This window comes from Homo sapiens, chromosome X (assembly GCF_000001405.40).
Source record: "Homo sapiens chromosome X, GRCh38.p14 Primary Assembly".
NCBI lineage: Eukaryota > Metazoa > Chordata > Mammalia > Primates > Hominidae > Homo > Homo sapiens.
The window spans coordinates 133319569-133345015 of record NC_000023.11 but is presented as its reverse complement, the minus strand read 5'-3'; the positions used below and the strand labels follow the sequence as shown (position 1 = coordinate 133345015).

Here is a 25447-nt window from a genome sequence, read left to right as displayed (position 1 = left end):
TCTAGAAAGGCCAATGCAAAATCATAGTCTCTTATGTTTGCAGTTTTCATAGTGCTTTCCAGTCTGTTCTTCTCAAATGTTCCTCACTGCGGTCCTTACCCTTAAGGAACAGTTTGTCTCTCTTATTTACCATAGGCATTTGGTTGCTTTATTGGTAAAATTAGTCCGAGTACCAAGAGTGTCTGCCTTAAAAATCCCACTGGTGCAGGCAAAGCCTGGGTTCTCTACCAGTGTCTTGCAATGTTTTCTGGCTCTGTTTTCTCCATTTAGGACACTGGGGGAGTAAACACTAGAGATTTTCTTTATTTCCCGCAGGTACAGAAAGAAAGCTGACCCCTAAGTGGTAACTACCGGTATTCCTCTATTACTGCCCCACCTCCCAAAAAAGTGGGGAGAATTGGAGAGACACTTTCTTGGCATCTAGTTGGATTTCTAAATGTATTTTCTGAGAGAGATATAGAAAATGGTTGTTAGACATAGTTGAAAATAGTCACCGGGCGTGGTGGCTCACACCTGTAATCCCAGCACTTTGGGAGGCTGAGGCGGGCAGATTACCTGAGGTTGGGAGTTTGAGGCCAGCCTGACCAACAGGGAGAAACCCCGTCTCTACTAAAAATAAAAAATTAGCCGGGTGTGGTGGCGCATGCCTGTAATCCTAGCTACTCAAGAGGCTGAGGCAGGAGAATTGCTTGAACCCGGGAGGCAGAGGTTGCGGTGAGCTGAGATCACGCCATTGCACTCCAGCCTGGGCAACAGGAGCGAAACTCCATCAAAAAAAAAAAAAAAAAAAAAAAAAAAAAAAAAAAAAAAAAAAAAAAAAAAAACCAGAAAGAAAGAAAGAAAATAAAGAAAGAAAGAAAGAGAAAATAGTCAAGTTAGTAGTAAATAAGCTGAGGGCTGGCCTGAGCACCTATCTACCATTTATAACATTTTCTATGGGAAGCTGAGTTATGAGCAACTGAAAATAAACGAACATTAGCCGCACCCCATTTGTACATCAGAGGCAGCCTTTGGTGAGAGGAGTAAATGAGATAAAATGAGAAAGCACAGTTTCACAGATTGCCTCAGAGCGCTGTTAAATGATGGAATAGATTCCTCATATTCAATGCCTACTTCTTTAACCATTGATTTGAAGTGCCTCAAAAAAAAAGAACCAATACACACTCAGCAGGATTGAGAGTAATTTATTGTGATTGTCTTTGTTCAGCTTTGAAAACTAAGGCATTGATATTAAGACTAAAGAGAAATTACATAGAGCTGGTGTGATTGAAAAAAGTTTGGCTCTTTCGAGTGATTTTTTTTGTTTTGTTTTTAATGCCAGAGAGTTAAGCTTTAAAAGCACGCTTCATTGAATCCCATCCAAGCCTCCTAGGACAGGGCTGGGGGACCTTTTTTCTATTGAGGGCCACTGACCCACAAAGAAAAAAACTAATCAAGGGCCATGTACAAAAAGCAACTTAATTTAGGTGCTTCCTTGGAAAACCATAAAGCATTGAATTCACCTGCTTTTTAAATTAAGAACAAGGAATTCTCAACAAGTACAACAAATAAAAAAACCCTTCAGTTTCATATTATGCACCACTTAAGAGGTGGGGTGGGATAAGAGAGAACTACATGGTTAGAGTGAAAAGAGAGTGGAAAGCAGACAGGAGAGTCTTAATGGACTAGAAGCGATACATGAAGAAGAAACTGTATGTCAAGAGCCATGGAAGCAGGAGATTGAATTAGGGAAATAGGGGAGAGAAATGGCAGTTGTAGATCATAATCTACTATTCACTAAGGTAGTAGACTAACTGGTTAACTGCTATACTCAGCTGTTCCACAGCTGGAATTCAGAAGCCTTTCTGACAACAATTCTTAAGGAAGGGTCAGAATCACCTAGAGCCCTTGTTAAAAAGTGCAAGTGTCCAATGCTACCCCCACAGTGGCTGTCTACCTGTCCCATCTTTATTCTGTTGTCCTCGTGTTCAGCTCTCTCAGCCTAAAGGAAAAATTGTGGCATCTTTCTTCAGTGAGAAGAATATAAGATCACCGGGCTTAGAAAGGAAATCTCCAGAAAGAAAAGATTTCTCACTCAGGCACAGCATTTTAGAAGCAGTCTCAAACACATAAGACAGAATGCCTTTCAAATAATATGCACGCCCTAGCCTTCAAAATAAACCATTTTGGGTGCTTAAAGTAGAAATATTCAAGTTAAAAAAAAAAACTTAATTAGTTGCTCAAGTCTTCAAAGATTTTTTACCAGAACATGGAGCTATAATTTCATTTTCAAATGTACCCAGACTTGTCCTCCTTTTCCTCCCTGTGCTTCTCATTAGCACTAACTAGTTGTGGCACCGAATCCCCAGTAGCCCAAGAATGTCTTGGGGTTTAATTCACAAGTGTGTCTTGGACTACGTGTGTCACAGGGCTTTTGGCAAGAATGTCAAATTACATTTTCAAGTAACGCTTTTTAGAAATGCAGACAGGATAAGTGGTGCATTCGGGGCTATATGGCCCAAAGTGTGAACTTTGCACTGAGGGGCAGACGACTTTGCCAGCAGAAACATTAGCCAAGTATCTACCCTGTTGTTGTCCTTTACATAAGGCAAGCCTTTCACCATTAGACAAAATCTTCCCGGAAAGATCTCTCTGAGATGAAAGTGCACTATTTTTTTCTTTTTAAAATTAGATATTGCAGGCCGGGCATGGTGGCTCGCGCCTGTAATCCCAGCACTTTGGGAGGCCGAGGCGGGTGGATCACCTGAGGTCAGGAGTTCGAGACCAGCCTAGCCAACATGGTGAAACCCTGTCTTTACTAAAAGTACAAAAATTAGCCAGGCATGGTGGTGCACGCCTGTAATCCCAGTTACTTGGGAGGCTGAGGCACGAGAATCCCTTGAACCCAGGAGGCGGAGGTTGCATTGAGCCGAGATCACGACACTGCACTCCAGCCTGGGCAGTAGAGTGAGACTCTGTCTCAAAAAAAAAAAAAAAAAAAAAATAGTGCCAAAACAAAGACGTGCCCCAGTGTTCCAGTATCAGCAAGTCTCGATAAGGTTCTGCTTGAGGGTCACTGGTGGAGATGAGATGGGTGGAGTGCATGGGCCACTCTGGGCCTTTTATGTGTGGCAGTGTAAATGGTGCCATCCACTCGGACCAGGTTACTAGGAAAACTTTTATTGCTGCTACCCGTTTTTGAAGGGTGTATCCTTAGTATAAATTCCCTGTGGGTGAGTTTAAACCTGTCAACATCTAGCACCTTCTTCAACAGAGAAAATTATTATTTCCTGCTGTCTCTTAGTATTTTCTTGCTTTGAGGTGTATGTGTGTGTGTACGCATGTGTTTGTGCATGTACCCATGTACACTGGGGGCAGGGAAAAATGATGGGTACTTTTCTGTGAACTTAGAAACCTATTTTGATAGGATCCAGTAAGTGACCCTTTATTAGGTGTGAACCCTGTTAACATTAGGTGAGTATAGTTTATTTTCCAAACTGACAAGTTATTTTGCCTTGAAAATTCATGCATACCACAATGGAATCTTTGCAGGTGCTTGAAAAAACAGCCTATCCTATGATGAATTTTAGCTTATAGCAATCTTTAAAAATTTTATTTAAAGTCTTTATTATGAAGTAATTCATTTAAATCACCCTATGTGGGTTCTCATTCTGAGCATTCCAATTCATTTTCTACAGGGGGTATGAATATAATATGTATTATTTAATATAGTGACAGCACTGTACTATTTGGGGGCCTTCATATTGTTTTATGTGTTTAGATTGTAATGGAGGGAACCCTTACCTCAACACTGAAACCAGGAGACAACTGAATCTTTCTGTGTTAATTATGTGTCCCAGTACCGAAGGCCTGCTGTGAACTTGTTAAGCCAGTGAAGAGGGAGTTTTGTTTTTGGTTGTAACAAAGGTGTTTCCATAAAACCGAGCCTTAGCAACCCCTCTTCTGTCACTAATGAGATCTAAGATATTCTGCAGACTCACAGCTCTAAACTTGATTACACAACCTTTTTTTTCCCTTTTTTTTCTGTTAGTAGAATTATTTATTGACCAAGGTTTTCAGAAATGCCAAAATAAACTTTTAGCAGTTTCTGGATGAGGAAGTTATTTGAAGATTGTTGCTCTTTCTGCCTTCCTTACATGGTCCTTTAATGCTGCATACTCCCCTTTTTTGGGGGCACTAACATTCTCCCTACTTTTTAACTGCCAGGAAGGAAGAATGATCGGGAACATATATGATTATATAATTATTTGCATATGTGCAGTTGACAATCTAGTGTTAGTCAAATAAATTGCCAGCTCAATTTTATCTGAAATACCCTGCTACCCTAAAGCTGCTTTGATATCTCCATTAGGTGAAGCCCTATTTCCTGTAAGTACACATGGCCAAGAAGCAGCAATGGCCAGCTCATGGACCATTTCGTTTTCCATGATTAGTGTTGTTTGAATGATTAGCTTTTAATTCCCCATCCCTTTGTTGATTGGTCACACTTACCATTGACAGGTTCACATGTCTTCAGTATACTCATTCCTGAGTTCCTCAGATCATCTCTCTTTTCAGACCCCTTTTGACTTGCATAGAACATGGACAGCAATAGCAGAAGGAACAGTGAGAGTCAATCCTTGTAAACGTGTACAAAATTATACCACACCAATTAATATTGGAGAGACTGAAGTGATAGTAGCTAGTGGGGTTTATTTTTGAGTGGCATTGCATCTTGTGGTCATTATAAGAGAAGAGACATCGTCTCTTCAAAGCACAATTTTGTTCTGTGACAGAGGAGAACAAGGGGGGGAACTCTGGGGCATATAGAAAAAACCCCCCGCCCAACCCTCACCTCCAAACTGCAAGCCAAATGCAGTTGGTATAAGGGAGGGAGATACTTCGTGGGTTGGGTTGCTGTGGAGTGATGTGTCTTTGACATTTCCCTTGACTCTTGGGGCTGCATCACTACATAAAGGTGTTTATTGGAAGTTGTTGGTCTATACTGAGATGATGCTACATACACAGAATCATAGGGTAGATATAGTCTCTGACATCTGCACAGAATACATTGGATAAAAAAAATCTTAAACTCAAGGATTGAGGATTACCATCACCCCTTTGTGATTTATCATAGGCTCAGATTATCCAGCATAAACCCCTATAGTTTCCTCTTTGCTGGCAACCCTTGAAATGCACAAATCCCTTTGTTTCCCCACAGTGTAACTATTGCACATGTATTTGCTCAGTTTTTGGCTGTTGTCACATATTTTATAAACCATTCGTCATTAAGGACAGTCTCTCTTGGAGTGTAAACTCCCAAATCTGGAAAAACTGTGTCTCGTTTGCATGACTTCTGCAGTATTTAGCATAGAATATGAGAATCTCTGGGAATTTATAAAAGAGACTTTAGTTGACATGGAATATTATATTGTTTATTGACTACACCAGTTTTCCTGTTGGTTTAGCCATCTCTCTGATTGGAAAGTTCTTTTGCTTTTTGGAGAGGGCTTTATTATTTTATTTTCTCAAAAAGGGAATGAATATTTTTAGACTTCCTGGAACTTGTTAGATACACATGTTGCCTGGGCCTTTGCAGGAGCCTCACAGGTTGAAATGAACCTAAATCAAACCTTTCCCTCTTGGACTTCATGAATGATGATAGACATTGACTGTCTTACTTTTTATCTTGCAGGTGATCATTTGAAGATCTGTCCCCAGGGTTCTACCTGCTGCTCTCAAGAGATGGAGGAGAAGTACAGCCTGCAAAGTAAAGATGATTTCAAAAGTGTGGTCAGCGAACAGTGCAATCATTTGCAAGCTGTCTTTGCTTCACGTTACAAGAAGTTTGATGGTATGTTATTCAAGTCATATGTAAGAACCGGCAGTTAGGTCTGTACTGTAGCTTTTTCACAGCTCCTCTGCTCCCTCAGTGCTTAAGTTTTCTCCCAAGATGTTGTCCTTGTTGGATACCAGAGACGAGTTTACCCTGTAGCTTTATGGCTAGAATACTTCCGGATGCACTGGAATCTGTATGGTAGGCATTATGGAAATATGGTCACAAGGAGACAAAAAATAGATTAGTTTAACTTAAATGCTTTGATTTATTTTCTTGGGTGAACACAGAATAGTGTTGTTGACGCAAGTCCCTTTAAAAAAAAAAAGACCTCATAATAAAAAGCAGGCATCTGAAAACTGTCTTAGTCAAAATAAAGAGAATTTACAGATGCTGGACTTCAAATTAAATTTCAAAATGGATCCCCAAAGACAACTAGAATTCCTAAAAGTTTTGCAGAACACAGGCAGGATTAAAGTTCTTGAGTTTCCATGCAGCAGAGACCCAAAAGTAGCCATTTTACTATAGTCTTCATTAAGCTGGGCTCCATCCAACCTCACATTAGCTGAAGCTCTGGCATAGTCTTTCCATGTAAAAGCCACGACAGAACCCATTCTAATCACCTATGCCAGACGTGGCTTCTTGCAGGCACACTTTCTCTTAATATTGAAGAAATAGCCAATATGAGCCAATTGAAAGTGTACTTTGATCCTATCTGAACAATGGTACAGATAACAGACTTTAAAAAATAGAATATGGAGTCCAAAACACCTCAGGATTCTTTTCCCTGGTGCTGTTCACTCAGTTTGAAGATTTTTATGAAGTAGATTTAGTTTTAAGAGGATTGATTTCCTTTGTGCCTGTTTTAAAGGCCATTCTAATTACATAGTACCTTTGAAGCATGCTTTTCTTGACATTATGTGTGGTGAAGAAGTACAAGACAAATTTTCTAGATATGAAATGTCTTTGAGTATTTCTGCAAAGGGCTTGTTACCATGGTGAGAAAGTTAGACTAAATTAGATTTGATATAGCTGATAAGGCAGTCCTCAGTTAAAGAACAGGTTGTATTTCAAATGTTGGCTTTGAGATGTGTTATTTCAAACTTATAACCAATTTAATAAGTGTTAGGTTCCCAGGTGAGACCACAAAAGCATATTTAATCTATAATGTAGTTGAACTAAAACACTGTCTATGTAGTATGCCGTTGATCCTACCCATTTTTTCAAACACGCTATGTGCAAAATTATGTCTTAGTTCTATCACCTTTCCCTGGATGAATGGGAACAATTTATATATCTGTATATCCTTCTTATTACCCATATCCCCCTACATATATGCTGTAGCTGTTAAAAGTATTTAACAATATGTTAATACCATGTGAAAATGGGTGTTATTGGCAAAATCTATCATTAGACCTCCTCTGTCTCTCCTGATCACTGAATTATTATTATTGAAAAGAATGGTGTTTTCCTGACCATGGCATTTCTCATTCAAGATAATAACCTAAGCCTTTTCTTTTACTTTGGGGAGAAAACTTAGAAAGCTAATTAAATGGTCATTTTTGAAAACTTAAGATGTTGATATTTAAAAATCACCACTTAGGGGCTTCATAATGGAATTTAGAAGGAAAAAAAAATCTGCTCTTTAGAAATGACTCTCCCGTTGGCAGCACAATGTAGTGGAGATAAAGTTGTTTCCAAGTTCCAAGGCCTTCTACTGCAAGTCACCTCATTTCTTGTTAGACTTGTATCTTCCTGGCAGGGAGCCCACAGTCATTGCCTATGGGCCTACTGGTTTAGCTATTCTTTTCCCTTCTCGCTCCCCATGGTTTTATAGCACTACTATGATTCCAATGTGTAGTGTTTTGTTGTTGTTGTTGTTTTCTTCTTAAACCATACAGAGAAACTTTATCAGTAAGTGTTAACATGTGTTTTTTAAAAAGGATAGAAAGTTTTTCTTGCTCTTCCCTACCAGGCTTCACATTCAATAAATATGTTAACACTGTGCCTTGATCAGTTTCAAAACTTTAATGATTATGAAACTCCAGTGTTTTTTCTGACTTCAAATTAAAATATGGCATAGGCTGGGCATGGTGGTTCATGCCTGTAATCCCAGCACTTTGGGAGGCCACGGCGGGCAGATTGCTTGAGCCCAGGAGTTCGAGACCAGCCTGAGCAATGTGGTGAAACCCTGTCTCTACTAAAAATATGAAAATTAGCCAGGAGTGGTGGTGTGCGCCTATGGTCCCAGCTACTTGAGAGGTTGAGGTGAGAGGATCACTTGAGCCTGGGAGTTCAAGGCTGCAGTGAGCCAAGATTGCGCCACTGCACTCCAGCCTAGGCAACAGAACAAGACCCTGTCTCAAAACAAATAAATAAAATAATATAATATAACATAAAATATGGCATAGACAATAAAGTTAGGGAACATAGATACAAGGTTTTTTTTTAATGGGTAGTAGCTGAAATGTACTTGATCTGGAGATCAATATACTGGAATGCTGGAATACTGGAATGCCAGAATACTTTGCACATTTTCTCCATGTTAGGTTACAGAAACAATGAGATAATTTTATATGGTAAAACCTTAGTTGACTGGTACCCACCAAATCATAGTCCCCTAGTGGGTGCTGCATTGATTGATTAATTTTTTGTTTGTTTGTTTTGAGATGGAGCCTTGCTCTGTTGTCCAGGCTGGAGTGCAGTGGCGCAATCTCGGCTCACTGCAACCTCTGCCTCCTGGGTTCAAGCGATTCTCCTGTCTCAGCCTCCCAAGTAGCTGGGATTACAGGAACACACCACCACGCCCAGCTAATTTTTGTATTTTTAGTAGAGACGGGGTTTCACCATGTTGGCCAGGCTAGTCTCGAACTCCTGACCTCAGGTGATCCGCCCACCTCAGCCTCCCAAAGTGCTGGGATTACAGGCATGAGCCACCGCGCCTGGCGATGATTGACTAATTTTTAAGGCTGTCAATTAGGACTTGCCAGTAATTCTCAATGCCTGCCGATCCAAGGGCATTGATTAACAGGCTATAGGATATGTCTTGACTCTCAGAAATTCAAGGGTGGATGCTTTGGCCAAAGAATTATCCAAACTATTATAATAGCTAAACCCTGGCTCTTGGTGTGAATTGAAGAGAGAAAGTTGGGCAGACTAAAAAGATGGTGGTAGGGAACCAAGATGGAGCAGTGAAGTTGCACAGAGACAGCTGGGGACATATAGTAAGGAAATAGTAAAAGGACACATGGAAATATTATGGGTCAGGCAACTTCAAGGGAGTACCTTTTGTCATCTGCAAGCTTACAGTGTAAATTCAAAGTGGTGACCTTGACCCCAGACAACTTTGTCTATCATCAAAACCTGTCTATGTCTATGAGATACCACTTCTTTCTAAGGTAGAAATAATTACTTTTAAAGTAATTATTGAAAAAAAACCTTTTCAACAAAAATAAAGTTTGGGGGCTTGTAGAGAGTTAGCCTTCTGTTACCAGAAATCATCTCATTATCCCAGTTTTCCATCATTCTTCCTCAATTGACCCTGGTCAGGGTTCTAGTGCCAGTTCTGACATTTTTATAGTCATTGGATTTGAGAGATGAGTCCCTTCTCCAGTTCCCTTACCTCTAAGGCCCTTTTTTATTCTGTACTTTTAATTTCCTATCGTTTGCACATCTCAAGAGACTGTACGGTCTATATCAGTTTTTAAGATATAAACTCGTGTGTGTGCGTGTGTGTGTGTGTATGTGTGTGTGTGTTCGGATTTGGGTGACGTACAAGAGAACACTTCCTCCCCCTCAAAAATCATCAGATTTCTTATATTTTAAATCTATATCACTGAGTTTAAAGACTGGCCTCTGTGTTTTTCTATGCTATCATTTTTTAAACCCACTTTTTAACTTAGGATGTTTAATACCAGAAATCTGTATTCTGCTGGAGACATAGAGCCAGATTGTGGTAGTGACAGAGCTAGCTGCTCCCCCTCTTGGCCAATTCTGGGAATTTTTTGATAGTAGAGCTGCTAATTAACTTAGCTGAATCAGTCATCTCATGAATATGCTAATCACATACTTAATTCAGGAGGGAGTTAGGGAAAATTGCTTGGCAAAGGGAATAGAAATAGAAGTGGGGCATAATCCGTGTTTTGGGACCACAGCATAAAGACCCGCCCCCAAATGCCTGGCATTTTGTGAGAAAATAGTTGTTTTTAAAAGAAGCATAGTTAAAATCCCAAATAGGTTAAGGTGATTACAGCTGCCATGTTAAATGTATTTCTGAATTACATAGTAAAAATGATGTTACAGCTATGAAGTAATGTCATTGCTACATAACTGCCTGTATCAAACTGTAGATATTCTGCATGTTTAAATAACTAAGGAAATGGTTGTTGTCTGATGCTAGTCTATTGGGAAAACTCCTTTAATTTGTCATTTTCAGAGCAAATTTAATAACTTTGGATGGGAGGCAGTGCACAGTGAATTATCATCCTAGTTCTGCAGTGAACCCACTGTGACTGTGACCTGGGGCAATTAAATGAGTCTCAGTTTTCCCATCCATAAAATGAGGGGGTTGAGCTAGATGCTCTCTAAAACCCTTTTCAATCCTACCAATTCTGTGAATCTTTTAAACATGTGACTAGACCAGCTGCTTTAGTGAAAGGCCTTACAAGATGTTAATTAGCCGTCTGTATGGTACCCTCTATTTTCCCTCTATCATTTTTTAACTCTCAGCTACTTTCACCAGGTCTTTGAAAAACCCTCCCATGAGCCTGAAGCTTGTTAACTTGAATAATAGTAGAAATTTTCTGAATTAGCTTAAAATGCACACAAAAGAAATAATTGTCTGTCCCATCTATCTGCATGGGCCAAGTGTAAACCAAGCAGTTACCCTTCCCTTAAGCCCTAAGGCCCCTTGTTTCCTATCACTTCACAGAGGCAGGGCACGAAGCACTCTTCAGACTTAGCAGAATCTGCATTTTAATCACCAACTGCAAATTTTCTGTAGTTCATATTAGCCATTAACCAGTGCAGAGGATCAGTGAGTAGGAGGCATTAAAATTTATATGCCCGTGAAAGGCATGACCTCAGTGGAAGCGAGCTATCTGCTAACCTTAAAAGACAAATATGTCCAGATAAGCTTCATGGCCATTGACTAAGCTGAAATTTCTGGAATTTTCCTGACCCCTGACTTTAACTATTTTCTACCTATATAGATAATTGTCGTTTATATAGCCACACTTACTAAAGATCCCCTGAGAGGGTTTTACATTGGAAAAAGTCTAAAACACCCTCAAAGTAAGTGTGTCATAGATATGCATAGCATAATATACAACATTGATTGGTTTTTAATCCTCACCTCACATTTCATTAAGACATTAAAAAAATCATTGCTTTCTAAAACCTCTGCTGTAGTACAGCGGGCAACATTTCATAGGCTGAGTAGCCTCGAAAGTACGGAGAAAGACATGAGGCCTTCTGGCCTTCCTGCAAATGCAGTGTTTCTTCCAGATTATGCCAGTGGTCTCCGATTTAGTTTGAAAGCACTGCTACTCTTTCCTTTATGATTCTATTTTCTTTTCTTTCCATATGAAAGAGACTAAAAAGCCAGCTACTTTTGCTAATTCTTTTATAATCTCTCTGTGAAACTTGACCAGAATGAGCCACTGCCAGCTTACTGTAATCAAATCAAAAGCTCAGACAAAATGCACACATTTCTCTATTGACAAAGGTTTTCTGCCTTTTGAGTTGTTATCTGAAGTGTGACCAATTGTGACTTTAGCATTGGCTATCTCATCGGATTGAAAATGCATGTGCAGCTTTACGAGCCCAAAGCACTTTAACTTTGGGCCTCTCCTCTTAGCTTTGACTTCTTCAGAAGGCATGACATCAGCAAGAAGCAATGGATCTGTCTGGAGGGAAGTAAATACATAGAAGAGCTTCAGATGAACTGCTTTTATCAACTCTGTTGGTTCATTGCTCTTTGGGCCTGGGAGTTTGGAATGTTGTTCATCACTGCCTGCTCTACTTCTATGTGTCTGTCTGTCCAGGCAAAGAACAGGGCTTAGTTGATCTAGCACTGACTCCAACCGATTGATTGAGAGAATTCCCTGTGCAGGCAGGCTTCAGCCCTTTCTTGTTCATTGTCCACACCCATCTTCATCACCCTCTCTCGAAAGAATTAGCAGAGCAATGGAAACTCTTGTAATAAATATGACTCTAACAGCAAGGATGGTACATGGACACACCCTTTCTGCAGATAGATTTGGCAGTGTGTCAGCAGTTTTGAATATGTTCATACTCATTGATTTAGTAATTCCACTTCTGGATGTGCATCCCAAGGAAAGAAAGATCTGCATAAACACTTATGTACGATGTTAATAGGATGTTCATCACAGCATTATTTCTAGTGGTAGGAAATTGGAAATAAGCTTGCATGCCCCACAATGATTACACTATTCTCCGTCCATGTGGTGTCATTGTATGCAGCCATTAAAAATGATGGTTCTGCTGGGTGCAGTGGCTCACGCCTGTCATCCTAGCAGTTTGGGAGGCCAAAATGGGTGGATCACTTGAGGTCAGGAGTTTGAGACGAGCCTGGCCAACATGGTGAAACACCATCTCTACTAAAATACAAAAATTAGCCAGATGTGGTGGTGCACGCCTGTAATCCCAGCTACTCGGGAGGCTGAGGCAGGAGACTCACTTGAACCAGAGAGGTGGAGATTGCAGTGATTTGAGATTGCACCACTGCACTCCAGCCTGGGTGACAGAGCAAGACTCTGTCTCGAAAAAAAAAATGATGCTTCTGAAGAAGTTTTAATCACATAGAAAATGCTAACCATATAGTGTTACATAAGAACACGGTGTAAATACATTTTATTTCAACCACGTAGCAACATGTATTTCATAGGAAAAAGGGAGGAAGGAAATTTGATAAGCCATTGTTACTGTCTTTTAGCAGTGGGGATTATATTTATATTTTCTTCTTACCTGTCCATATTTTTCAAGTTGCTATAATGAGGAATACTATTTAGGAAAAAATTATATATTTCTTTATGAAAAATATGGAAACTGCTTTGGTGAAGTTTTAAAATAATGTTTTTCTTTTTATTAAGTATTACAGTGCTCACTGTAGAAAATTTGGAAAAGTAGAAAAATACATCAAATCCTCCAGTGGTTAAATAGAATGAAGGGAATAAAGGGAAATAGTTACTTTTGAAAGCATGAAGGTATATCACTTTTCTGATTATAAAATGTCACTGAAATATCTGGGGGAACAAAATCAAGAAAGATAGAATGAAAAAAATTACCCTTGATCCCCAGCACCCAACCGTCACTCTTGTATTTACCTAATCTTTTTGTGTACGTAGATAATGCATATACATACATGCAAATTGGTATCATAATGATTTGCTATTTCATGTTCTGAATTTTTTTTTTTTTTTTAGACAGTCTCACTCTGTTGGCCAGGCTGGAGTGCAGTGGCTCAATCTTGGCTCACTTCAACCACTTCAAGTGATTCTCATGCCTCAGCCTCCCAAGTAGCTGTGATTAAAGGCTCATGCCACCACACCTGGCTAATTTTTGTATTTTTAGTAGAGACAGAGTTTCACCATATTGGTCAGGCTGGTCTCGAACTCCTGACCTCAGGTGATCTGCCCACCTTGGCCTCTCAAAGTGCTGGGATGACAGGCGTGAGCCACTGTGCCTGGCCTGATTTTTCTCTTGACATTAGATTATTAACAGATAGACTCTATTATGAGATGTGTGTTTGAAGCTATATGGTACCTCTCTGACTGATCCACATAGAGGTTAGTACATGGAACACTTGCAATGGCTCCTCCAGCTCCCTAGCTTACTTATACGTGTCTGAAACCTTCTCTGGGCATTTCCGAATGCACAGAACTCTGGGCATGCTAAAGCCAATTGCCTAGCTGGTACTGAGAGTGCCCTTAGTAGAAATGGAATGATGCCCAGCAAAAGGGACCTTACAATACTGAGCCTGTGTCCCTGGCCACATTAGCCAAAGATGGGGGCCATCAGTAAACATTGTATTTATTCCCTTGGAGCCTTAGCATTCAAAATGTGTTCACGAATAAAAGCAACTTTGGGAAGAAAGGCTGATCTTATTTTGGCAGAATCCCCTAGTACTCTGTGATATGCTAATAGCTCCTAATAAGAGCTACAGCTGGTGATTGGCCTGTCCACCAAGGAGCAGCCTGTTTTTTGTTTGTTTGTTTGTTCGTTTGTTTGTTTTGCTTAGACTTAGGGTCTCACTCTGTTGCCCAGGCTGGAGTGCAGTGGTGTAATCATAGCTCACTGCAGCCTGAACTCCTGGGCTTAAGCGATTCTCCCATCTCAGCCTCCCTAGTAGCTAGGACTACAGGCATGCAGCACCATGCCTGGCTAAGTTTTTAAATTTTTGTAGAGATGGGGTCTCACTTTTCAGGGTAGTCTAAAACTCCTAGCTTCAAGCAGTCCTCCCGCCTTGGGCTCCTAAAGTTTTGGGATTACAGGTGTGAGCTGCTGCACCTGGCCAAGGAGCAGCATATTGATTTGCTATCAATTGATAAACATAAGTTGAGTATATGATCTTTTGGTACACTAGCCTTAGCAGGTACTCTTTAGAAGAGTGAGATTATGCCGTGCTCGAGAAAAAAATGCCTGTTTAAAAAAACAAACAAAAAAACATATGCAGACTTTATCAAAAAAGCAAAACAGGAGGAGATAGTGATAAATCAAATTTCAGGTTGTCAGTAAAATGCTTGATGCTTTTCCTTTTTTTCCTTACATTTTTATATGCTTATGTTTGCTGTTCTTCATTAATTACTTGATCTTAGGTGAAAGAGTCGATGGGTGTAACTCTTTAAATTTTCTTAGAAGTTTGAAAGGTATGATTTGTAGCATTTACAAGGAGGCTTCTTTTTTCAGCACTTCTGTTGATCTAGTAACTTAATGTTTGCATGCCACACCAGGGGTATGAAATACAGCATTTATAGTAAGAGAAAAATCAATCCTTATATGTAAAAGGCAGCTTCCTAATAATGTAAATACCAGGTGGTAATTTATAGCACCAAAAAAAATGGATCAAATGAAAAGGGCCCCAATCTCTTAAGGTTATGGGTTAATTCTAGAATGCATTAATCAATAGCCAGTTGATTGTTTATAAAGGAGTAACTAATGTGGCATTTAGTAGCAGAACTGGAGGTTCTTTGGCCTATTTCAAGAATTTTGAATGTTTATTTGATGCAAGACAAGTAGCTGGGGATAGAAGTTCCAGAAGTACATGGTGTTCTTCTCTTTTTTAAAAGACAGGATATTTACATAGAAAACATTTATATGGAAAAGTTTTGTCTTTTCACTCTAGTTTTTCCCATGTTAAATTAGTACTACTTGCATTTAGAATGATTAGATTTTAGAACTGGAAAGTACTTACACTTCCCTAGCTCAATCCTTATACCAAGTGGACTTCTGGCAAAGAAGGTAGTATGCAAATGAAATACATGGGTGGGGGGTGTCGACCTGCTGATTTATTCTTATTTTTTATATGTGTGTGGTGTGTGTATGGTATTCTCTTGTTTAATGTAATGTAAGCTCTCTTCTCAAGGGTGAGGTTTCCCCATTCCCTATTTTTCACCCAGCAGTCACTCCCACCCTCATAGATGTCTGGGACGTTTCACAACCTTTAAAGGTAGAACCATTAAGCATTTCCCTTAGGATAAACAGTTCCCAATTTTATAAGGCCTTGCGTCTTCTTAGAAGACCTCCAGCAGCTTTGGCTTCATTTATGTCCCCTCAGATGGATAATGTTTGACTCCACTAGGAAAGATAAAAACCAGTCTTTAAAGATTTTTTTTAAAGGATTGTAGATACAAAGAAACTCTAAGAGTGACAACACTATCATCTCACATATTAGTAATAATGTTTATTTGTTGAGCATCTACTTTATGCCAAGCATTATCCATATGAGGTGAGTGATAATAGCCCCATTTTATGGATGGGATAAAAGAGGCTCAGAGAGATTAGGCCTTTTGCCCAAGCAAGGTCATACAGTCCCCAAATGAGAGATCTCCTGTTTTTCCCACTGTGTCCTCCTGCTTTAGATTCATAGCATGTTACAGTGTTTATTTCCATCCTGTGTTGAGTGGCCATTCATGAGCTCAAGGAGTAGCAGCTGCTTTATCTTTAGAATGTATATACTTAAGCCTTCAAACTGAAAATTGAAGGGGAAATAAACGCTGATCACAGACACTATATTTCAAATCCTTGCAAACCACCACCTCTCAAACTTTCTTTCAGACACCAGTAGCTTTACTTAAAACAGATTCCCTGAGCAGCATTTTTACATGAATACAAGCAATTGCTGCACAGATCTAACTTCCAATTTGCTTGGCTTTTGATCGTTGTGGAATCCTGGTTTACATTGCTCTTGGCTGGTTCTCTCTTAGTCACCAAGTGTATTGTAATTAGTTTCAGGCATAATGATTATGAGCAATGATTGCTAGGTGTCTAGGGCCTGTACAGCTCTTCTTCAGCAGTTAAGATCTGACCCTGATTCTGAGTTCTGAGAATGATTGAAAAAAAAATGGAGATGAACATTGCAGCGATTACTGAAGTTGCTATTGATGGCTGTGGACCAGGATCTGAATGGCTAATTTATGCTTCATTCCTCATTGTAGAAGTAAATGTCATGGGAATAGAAAGGAGGATTGGGGATGTGAAAGAATTATGCAAGAACATGCGAGCTGCTAGTTTAATAGGAGGAACAGATGCAAAAGGATTTTTTCTCCTTCTTTCTAATAGCAAATTATTATGCTTTGGTTGATATTGTACCCAATTGCTATGGATTTTAGAATTTAAATGATGTCTGCCATCCTTATGAGGTCCCTTTGAGGCAAAAGGCATAGGTAGAATAGTCCCAAGCAACAGGGCTAGTAAGAATCCATCTAAAAAGAAATGAGTCTGGGTCTTCTGGATCCCCTGATTTTTGTCTGGTTGACTCTCATAGATTAAATATATGAATATTTAGGAACTTTTTGTATGTAGTGAGGGATTAACAATTTTATAGATGTTTAAAAAAATCTCTGGTATTCTCATAAAACCGTATGTGGAGAGTGGCAGTGTATGGTAAAGGTGAATTGGATGGGGGAAATTTGTCTTACCAGAAATTTTCATTATGGTCTGATTGTGCAAGAAGAAGGTTAAGATGCATGGCAAAACACCATGTGCTTTGATTTGAGCCCATAAGAGCCACTCAGTACATACTTGTCAAATTGCATACCCATTTGGAGAAATTATGACGTTTTAACTCATTATTATCAGTTTTATAGAATTTCTCAAGCATTTATTAACCATATGCTCACCCAAATGGTCTTCATATTTGCAACTTATATAGCCACATTAAAGAGTCTTTTAAAATGTGAAGGAAAGAAAATAAATTTTCTGAATGATGAAATGAATTAGGATTTAGTATGTATATAGCACCAACCTAGGCTCTTAAAGTACACGCTAGCATAAACACACACACACACACACACACACACACACACACACACACACACACACACTTTCCTGGACAGAATGTGAGTCATGGAAACCAAAGTATGGTCCATGGTGGGTGTCGGACAGGGGCATGTCAGTTTCAAATCATTCTCCTCTTCATTAGGCCATTTCTCTTGTACTCCAAAGTAGCTATGTTATATATGGCTGCATCCACCCATAAGCTCTTGACCTGAATGAGGAACTCCAAGATTGATAATATTTTACTTTTTCTGTAAAGTGTTCAGTGATTTAGTGTTTGTTTGACTTGCAGCACTTTGTCAAAAGGCTAAACTTTGACATTTATTAGAAGTTTTAAATTAAAACTAAGCTTGAAATGTCACACCGCACCTCGCCCCACCCCTAAAAACCAACATGACTCTAGGTGACGTTCCTTAAAAATGCAAGTGAGTTTTGAGAATTACTTACTAAATGAGTCTGAAAGCACAACTCAAATAATTCTGAATGTCCAATTTCTGCTGATATGTGCCAATTTTATGAGCAATATAATAAAAATTCAATATAAGGAAGGACATGTGGTAGCTGTTGGAATCCACTCTTTTTGGTCATGAAATATTAATAGCACTGGATTGACACACAAGGCTTGCATATTGTTCTCAATGATGGCAAAGCTTTGTTTTTCCAATATGTGATAGCTATGTGTGCAACACACTGGTCATATAATAACGCAATCCACGTGTGCCTTTTATGCCCTCCATGAGCAATCACCACTTGGCAAGGATGCTAGCAAAATTCAAGCATGGTGTGGGACATGGACCAGATGACATTTAAGGTCCCTTCTCAACTTTGAACTCTAGAAAAGTACTGCATACATTTAATCATCTATGTTAACACTTAGTTGAGAGAGTTCCACACAAGAAAATTTGTCCCCAAGACAATAAAAAAGTCATTCCTAGGAATGCAATAAATTTATTTAAAAACACAATTCATTGGAAAGACATTTTCTCTTAATTAAAACATTAATGCTTGTCCTGACTGCTTCATACTCAACACAGCCCCTGAGTTGTTGGTGATTGCAACTGATAGGTGAAATGGGAGAAGTTTCAGCAGCTAGAGCAGTTGTTTTCCAACTTTAGGGTATATCAGAATCACAGATAGCTGAAAATTTTGGCCTGTCCACCAAGCCATTTGGCCTGTGGACAAGTCAGTTGGCTAGCTGGTGCTGAGAGTGCCCATAGTAAAAATGGAATGATGCCCAGCAAAAGGGACCCTCCAGGGTTTCTGATTCAGTAACTCTGGGGTGGGGCCAAGAATTTGCATTTATAGCAAGTGTCCAAGTGATGCTGATCCTGCTGGTCCCAGGCCCACACTTTGAGAACCACTCAGGGGATTTTGGAGAAAATAAAAGGCCATCCCAGGTAGCTGATTGGTATGCTTCTTATATTGTTCACCTAACTCTTTGTGCAGTTTCTGCCCTCTCACTTTCAGGGAGAGAGCTTTGGTAAAAATGTCAGGCTGCACACTTGTAATGGGGATGAGTTGACCTGCCTATTTGTTTACTATGCAGAGGAAGTCCATTTCCCTTTCTTTCTCTGAAGAAAGCCCAGTAAATAAAAGGCAAGCAATAGAAGGGAAAAGAACTAGATAAAAGGAAAAGGAGAGAAGCAAAGAAAAAAAAAAAACACAAGCCATACCTACAATGTTTGAAAAGCTGGAACCAGGGAGGACTGTGGACTTCATCCTCAGGCCTCAAGGAATAACTAAGTGATGAGTTAGGGGCTGAGAGACATAGGTATAGAATCTCTTGGCATGTCAGGAGAGTCACACACATACATCTCCCTGCAAAAGTATTCAGTTTCCTCAGTCCAGGTTTTGAAAAGCTATTTGGTATTAGTGGCCAGTCTCTGAGTTGCCCACCCAATGTGAGAAGAGAATGGTTTTGTAGAACTATTGCATTTTGATAAGCTCACCAATGTTCTGGCTTTGAAGTAGGTGTCATATTTTCTTTTCTGTTCCATATTTACTCAGAGGCAGTTTCTTATTTGATGTGGTCCTTATATTTTGCTTTGGTATTTGTTATATTTCCTGCTTATAAACTTGATATCATGAGGTGTTTATTTTTATACCAGGCAAGAGATTCTTTAAGAATGATTAATGTTACAAATACACTTTTGGCTTGTTTTTTCATTGAAGTTCCTGAGGAAAGCTTCAGAAGAAAACTAGTTTGCCATTTGTAGTTAAGAGATTAAAATCTCTAACCTTAGGCTGTGGCTGTATGGTGGCCAAAAAGTAAATCTGAAATAACCAGGTATTCTCATTTACATTTTTCAGTTTTTTTCATGTTGTCTCATAAATATGCTATATTTATTATTAAGTCCATTATGCATGTGCTCTCTCTCTCTCTGTCTCTCTCTCTCACACACACACACTCACACACACACTATCAGAAGGAACATTGAAAAGAGTCTCATGATGTTATTGTATAAATCCTTTAGAAACCCAGGATCAAGCTGGATACTCCCAATTTGTACTACTGTCACAGAGAAACACCCAGGAACTTATTTTCAGAAAACTTATGTGCTTGCTTGTAGGGGTGTTTGATTATGTTTTTTGGCCTCAACCATTTTCCAGGCAGCTATAGTGCATGATCATATAGATAAGTGAAAAGGAGAAATGAAAAAAAAATTCAGGCCCAAGTAAAATAACGACTTTTGAAAACACCTGTCCTGCTCTTAGGTTACAATTAGAAGGCATGGTTAACTTTGGCTTAGATTCTTAAGTAAAAAGTTGAGGGAAATCTCATGTTTTAGACTTCATGTGCACATTTTTTCCAGTTTTTCTTTATTCACCTATGACAGAGAGAAAGTGAGAGAGAGAATGAGAGCATGTGTGTATTGTACTGACTCCTGAGAAGCTGTTGGTTTAAATTTTCATTTTTTTCCTCTCTCAGACACCTATGTAAGTGACTTTGTGACACAGCTTTCCTTTCATTGGCAAATGATCTGAGATGCCACATTCCCCAAAAGAAATTCACCCTATATACAAACACGTTTTCCAATTTAATTGTGTTTTTTTTCCAGTTTTCAAATTTACTGGAAAAGCAGTTATTTAAACACTGAAAACTCTCGTTTTTCCTTTTTTTTTTTTTTTTTTTGGTGTTGGTTTCAGAATTCTTCAAAGAACTACTTGAAAATGCAGAGAAATCCCTGAATGATATGTTTGTGAAGACATATGGCCATTTATACATGCAAAATTCTGAGCTATTTAAAGATCTCTTCGTAGAGTTGAAACGTTACTACGTGGTGGGAAATGTGAACCTGGAAGAAATGCTAAATGACTTCTGGGCTCGCCTCCTGGAGCGGATGTTCCGCCTGGTGAACTCCCAGTACCACTTTACAGATGAGTATCTGGAATGTGTGAGCAAGTATACGGAGCAGCTGAAGCCCTTCGGAGATGTCCCTCGCAAATTGAAGCTCCAGGTTACTCGTGCTTTTGTAGCAGCCCGTACTTTCGCTCAAGGCTTAGCGGTTGCGGGAGATGTCGTGAGCAAGGTCTCCGTGGTAAGTACTCCTTGTCTTCTCTGTTTTGTTTTTGTTTTGTTTTCTTTCATGTTAAAAGAATGTTTGGGAAAGGTAGAAAAATAAATCACCAAAATTCTGTTGGTTCAATGGCAGCCTTTTCTTCCTCTCTTACCTCTTCTCTCCCACACACTGTCCTTACACGTGTACATTTTAGAGTTACTAAACAATACTGTGATCAGAATCTTCACCTATCATTATTATTGTGGGGTTTTTTTGTAGCTATTCTTAGAAGGGGGAATATATGTTTACTCAGGAATCTTAATTTTTAAAGTAGGTTAATACTGCCATACCCATTTTAGCTCTTATTCTACTTCCTTTCTGCACAAACAAACATACACACACAGGCTCCACATTTGGTTGTTTTGTGTGACTGTCAGCCTACTAGTCATAGTCTAGGAAAGCATTTAATCTCTGTGAGCATATGTTTCCTTGTTAGAAAGTGTACTCAGAGCTCTTTGGAAGACAGGTTTCTACGACAATTAGTGTGGACTACACTGCTGTTGACTCATGACTCTGCAGAATTACCAATACAGAAAGTGAAATTGTAGTATGTGATCAGGAGCTGATGAAATGAACCTGTTTCCTCATTGGGAAATTCAGCGAATTGGACTAGATAGACTGTGTTCTTTTTTTTTGGGAGGTGGGGACAGGGTCTTGTTCTGCTGCCCAGGCCAGAGTGCAGTGGCAGGATCTCGGCTCACTTGCAACCTCCACCTCCGGGGCTCAAGCAATTCTCCTGCCTCAGCCTCCCTAGTAGCTGGGATTGCAGGCGTGTGCCAGCACGCCTGGCTAATTTTTTGTATTTGTAGTAGAGACGGGGTTTCACCATGTTGTTCAGGCTGGTCTCGAACTCCTGGCCTCAAATGATTCACCTGTCTTGGCCTCTCAGAGTGCTGGGATTACAGGTGAGAGCCACCATGCCTGGCCGATAGACTCTGTTCTTGAGCAGGATATTGCTTTAGGGGCCTCATTGAGCAGAAGCAACAGAGAAGGAAGTCTTTTGTGGGTGAGACCGTGCAACTGTGCCTTTATCTCCCAGTTCCACCAGAGAATCTTTGCTTTCTTTGACTTCACACAGCAGGGATCTGAGCAAGATTTCAAGGGGAAAGGGGTTCCACTGCTCCTTCACTGCCACTCCCCTCCCCCAAATGAAATCTGAAAACTTCTTGAAGACCCCACCACCTCTACCTTTCCATGAGTCAATACCAGGGAAGAAACATAAATATACTGGGGCAAAGTGATCTTTGCAAGGCTGATCTTAGTGCTGTCAACTTTAGGCCCTCAAAGGGAAAGCCAAATTGTAGGCCATTGCTAAAAAGCCTGGATGCACAACAACAGCAGATTCTGCTGAGGCCATTTGGTTGTTTTGAGGACTGGAAGAATGGACAGCATAAAAACTGGACAGCACTACAAACATGAAAATAGACACCTGATTGCCTCTCACAGTTTATCTACAGTTAGGGTGACCATATAATTTTTTATCCAAACAGGACACTTACTGTCTAAATCGGGAGGTGCTTATTAACAAATTATTCACAGACAACAGGTGTCACTTTTTTTTTTTTTGATAGAGTCTCACTCTGTCGCCCAGGCTTGAGTGCAGTGGCGAGATCTCCGCTCACTGCAACCTCCACTTCCCAGGCTCAGACGACAACAGGTGTCACTAATTTTTTTTTTTTTTTTTTGGAATCTCGCTCTGTCACCCAGGCTTGAGTGCAGTGGCGAGATCTCTGCTCACCGCAACCTCCACCTCCCAGGCTCAGACGATTCTCCTGCCTCAGCCTCCCTAGTAGCTGGGATTACAGGCATGTGCCACCACACTCAGCTAATTTTTGTATTTTTAGTAGAGATGGGGTTTCACCATGTTGGCCAGGCTGGTCTTGAACTCCTGACCTCAGGTGATCTGACTGCCTCTGCCTCCCAAAGTGCTGGGATTACAGGCATGAGCCACCGTGCTGGCCAGGTGTCACTAATTGTTAGTAAGCAACCAGGACTGTCGTGGACTGGCCAGGATACACGGGTCACTCTAGTTGGAGAGAAAACTTATATTCACCAGAGTGAGGATAAAGATTCTAAAGAATGGTTTATTATGAAAAATAGGTGCTCATGGGATTTTTCATATTAGAATTGGGTGATAATAAGGATTAATTGATTGATTGCATTCATTATGTTGTTTGTTCTCTCTCTCATCTCCAGGCCATAAACTGTCAGGAAACAATTCTTTCTAGTATGTTTTTGTTCACTCCTTCTTTGATATTTTCATCGTAAATTGCAAATATTTATTGGGGCATATGAGGGTGGAGTTGAGGGTAAGTGGGGAGATGATTGTTATAATTAAAGGAATAATATCTGATTCTTGAACTTCTGCCAACCCCAGCAACCATTATTAATCTTGGACATACTTTTGTCAGAGTCCCTAAAACAGTGCACAGTGAATCAGATCAAAGTTATTTGCATTGTGGTACACCCAGCACATTTGCCCTCCTTCAACAATTCCTCATGTTCATCCTCCACTGAAAGGGCAGAAAGACACTGCTGTGTGATTTGGACATCTGTGCATGCATGTGCATGTGCGTGTACACTTGTGCCAAAGAGAAAGAGAGTCAAGAGCCCTTTGCTAGTTTGAAAAGTACTTTCTTTATGTTAACCCTCTCCCCTTCCTTTGAGTTTCAGTGTTGATTCTTGGAGAAAAAGGGCCAGACAGCAGACTCAAGCCTGCCTTGGTGTTAGCCTCACTTTGCAAGGTTGGAGCTATTTTAGAGAACTGAACCTACAAACATGGATGGGGAGGGTAGCCAAACTGAGAAGTTTAGAGACAATTGATTGCAGGTTAGAGGATTGAAGGCTAGAAAAGGCTTGCCTTTGTTCTGCGTCTCCCTACCTCCCAGGTTACGGGGAAGTAAGCAGTTGTGCCTTCCCTGTGTTGCATTCTTCTGGACGTCGTTCTCAGAATTAACCATGGGAAACCAAGAAGCTTGACTTTGATATTTAAGATTCAGACACCCTTACTTATGCAACAAAGGTATGTGACCCAATGTGAAATAGTCACAATCACTTTTTCTTTCTCCTTTCTTTTTTAAAAGAGGCAGGATCTTGCTCTTTCACCCAGGCTGGAGCGCAGTGGCACAATCATAGCTCACTGCAGCCTTGATCTCCTGGGCTCCAGCAATCCTCCTGCCTCAGCCTCCCGAGTGAGTAGCTGGGACCACAGGCATGCGCCATCATGCCTGGGTAATTTTTGGGTTTTTGTTGTTGTTGTTGGTTGGTTGTTTGTTTTTTGTAGAGACAGAGTCGCGCTGTGTTGCTCAGGCTGGTCTTGAACTCCTGGCCTCAAGCGATCCTCCCACCTCAGCTTCCCAAAGCACTGGGATTACAGACAATCACTTTCTGATGTTGCTTTTGGTGTGAATTTTTCTTAATAGAAAAAAAAAGATCCCCTGTCTACCTTAGTATTGTTAAATTCTTTGAGAAATTTACTTTTTTTTTTTTTTTTTTTTTTGAGACAGAGTTTTGCTCTTGCTGCCCAGGCTGGAGTGCAATGGCGCAATCTCGACTCACTGCAACCTCCATCTCCTGGGTTCAAGCAGTTCTCCTGCCTCAGCCTCCCAAGTAGCTGGGATTACAGGCATGCGCCCATACCCGACTAATTTTGTATTTTTAGTAGAGATGGGGTTTCTCCATGTTGGTCAGGTTAGTCTTGAACTCCCGACCTCAGGTGATTCGCCCACCTCGGCCTCCCAAAGTGCTGGAATTATAGGCATGAGCCACCACATCTGGCCTTGAGAAATTTACTTTCTAAATATAACCCTAACAATTTTTGTTTTTAGACTTGATCTCTATTCTATAGTCATTGTATTCTCATGTTAGCCTAAGAGATAATTGTGTAGTTGTATGGGAAGACCGTGAATAGGAGCAATATGCCTGAATTTACATAGAGTGAAACATAACTTGCCAATTGTTTAGCTGAAAATAAAGTTTTGTGGCTACTTTAAGTATTGTGGTCACAATTGGGAATGCCTAAAAAAGACAATGTTTTTGCTTTACAACTGAGCTTCTAAATTTAAGGACTGACTTGAAATCAAACCCTTTAATTAAATTAATTATATTATCTAAATGAATAAAGCATATAGGCATCAAGTCAGTTTCTAAAGGCGCTGAAACAAGAATTCTATAAATATCTACCATCTGTGGAATGCATCTGCATACAAGCATGCAAGGCATACTTGCATACCTGAGAAAATATTTATTACATTAATTTTTGGAGTATGACAGCCAGTTAAAAAATTTGAGATACAGTGGTATTGGAAAGACAATAAAGGATCTGGCTATCAAAAACAGTTCAAAATGAACATGTTGAAAAATTCATTTGATTAATTTATAAATAAGATTCTCTACCAGTTTGGATACCCAAGTAATGTTTTTTATATATATGGGTTCCCACCTCTGCTAACTCCTGCCCAAGAAGCACAGTTTGCAGGTGGATCTAGAACAACCCAAGAAATGAACATTTCTTCTTTTGGTGCCCAGTAATATTAATTGCTTCGGGCCTGAAAAA

At 39.9% G+C, this 25447-nt stretch overlaps 1 protein-coding gene across 1 annotated transcript in view; it reads left to right on the top strand.

Moving 5' to 3' along the window:
• The window catches only part of GPC4 (glypican 4), a 115387-nt gene that overhangs the window by 70474 nt on the left and 19466 nt on the right, over nt 1-25447 (top strand). Inside the window, exons 2-3 of the mRNA NM_001448.3 lie at nt 5675-5833; nt 20480-20871. Coding sequence (NP_001439.2) covers nt 5675-5833; nt 20480-20871 — 551 coding nt within the window. The remainder of the gene's footprint in view (nt 1-5674; nt 5834-20479; nt 20872-25447) is intronic.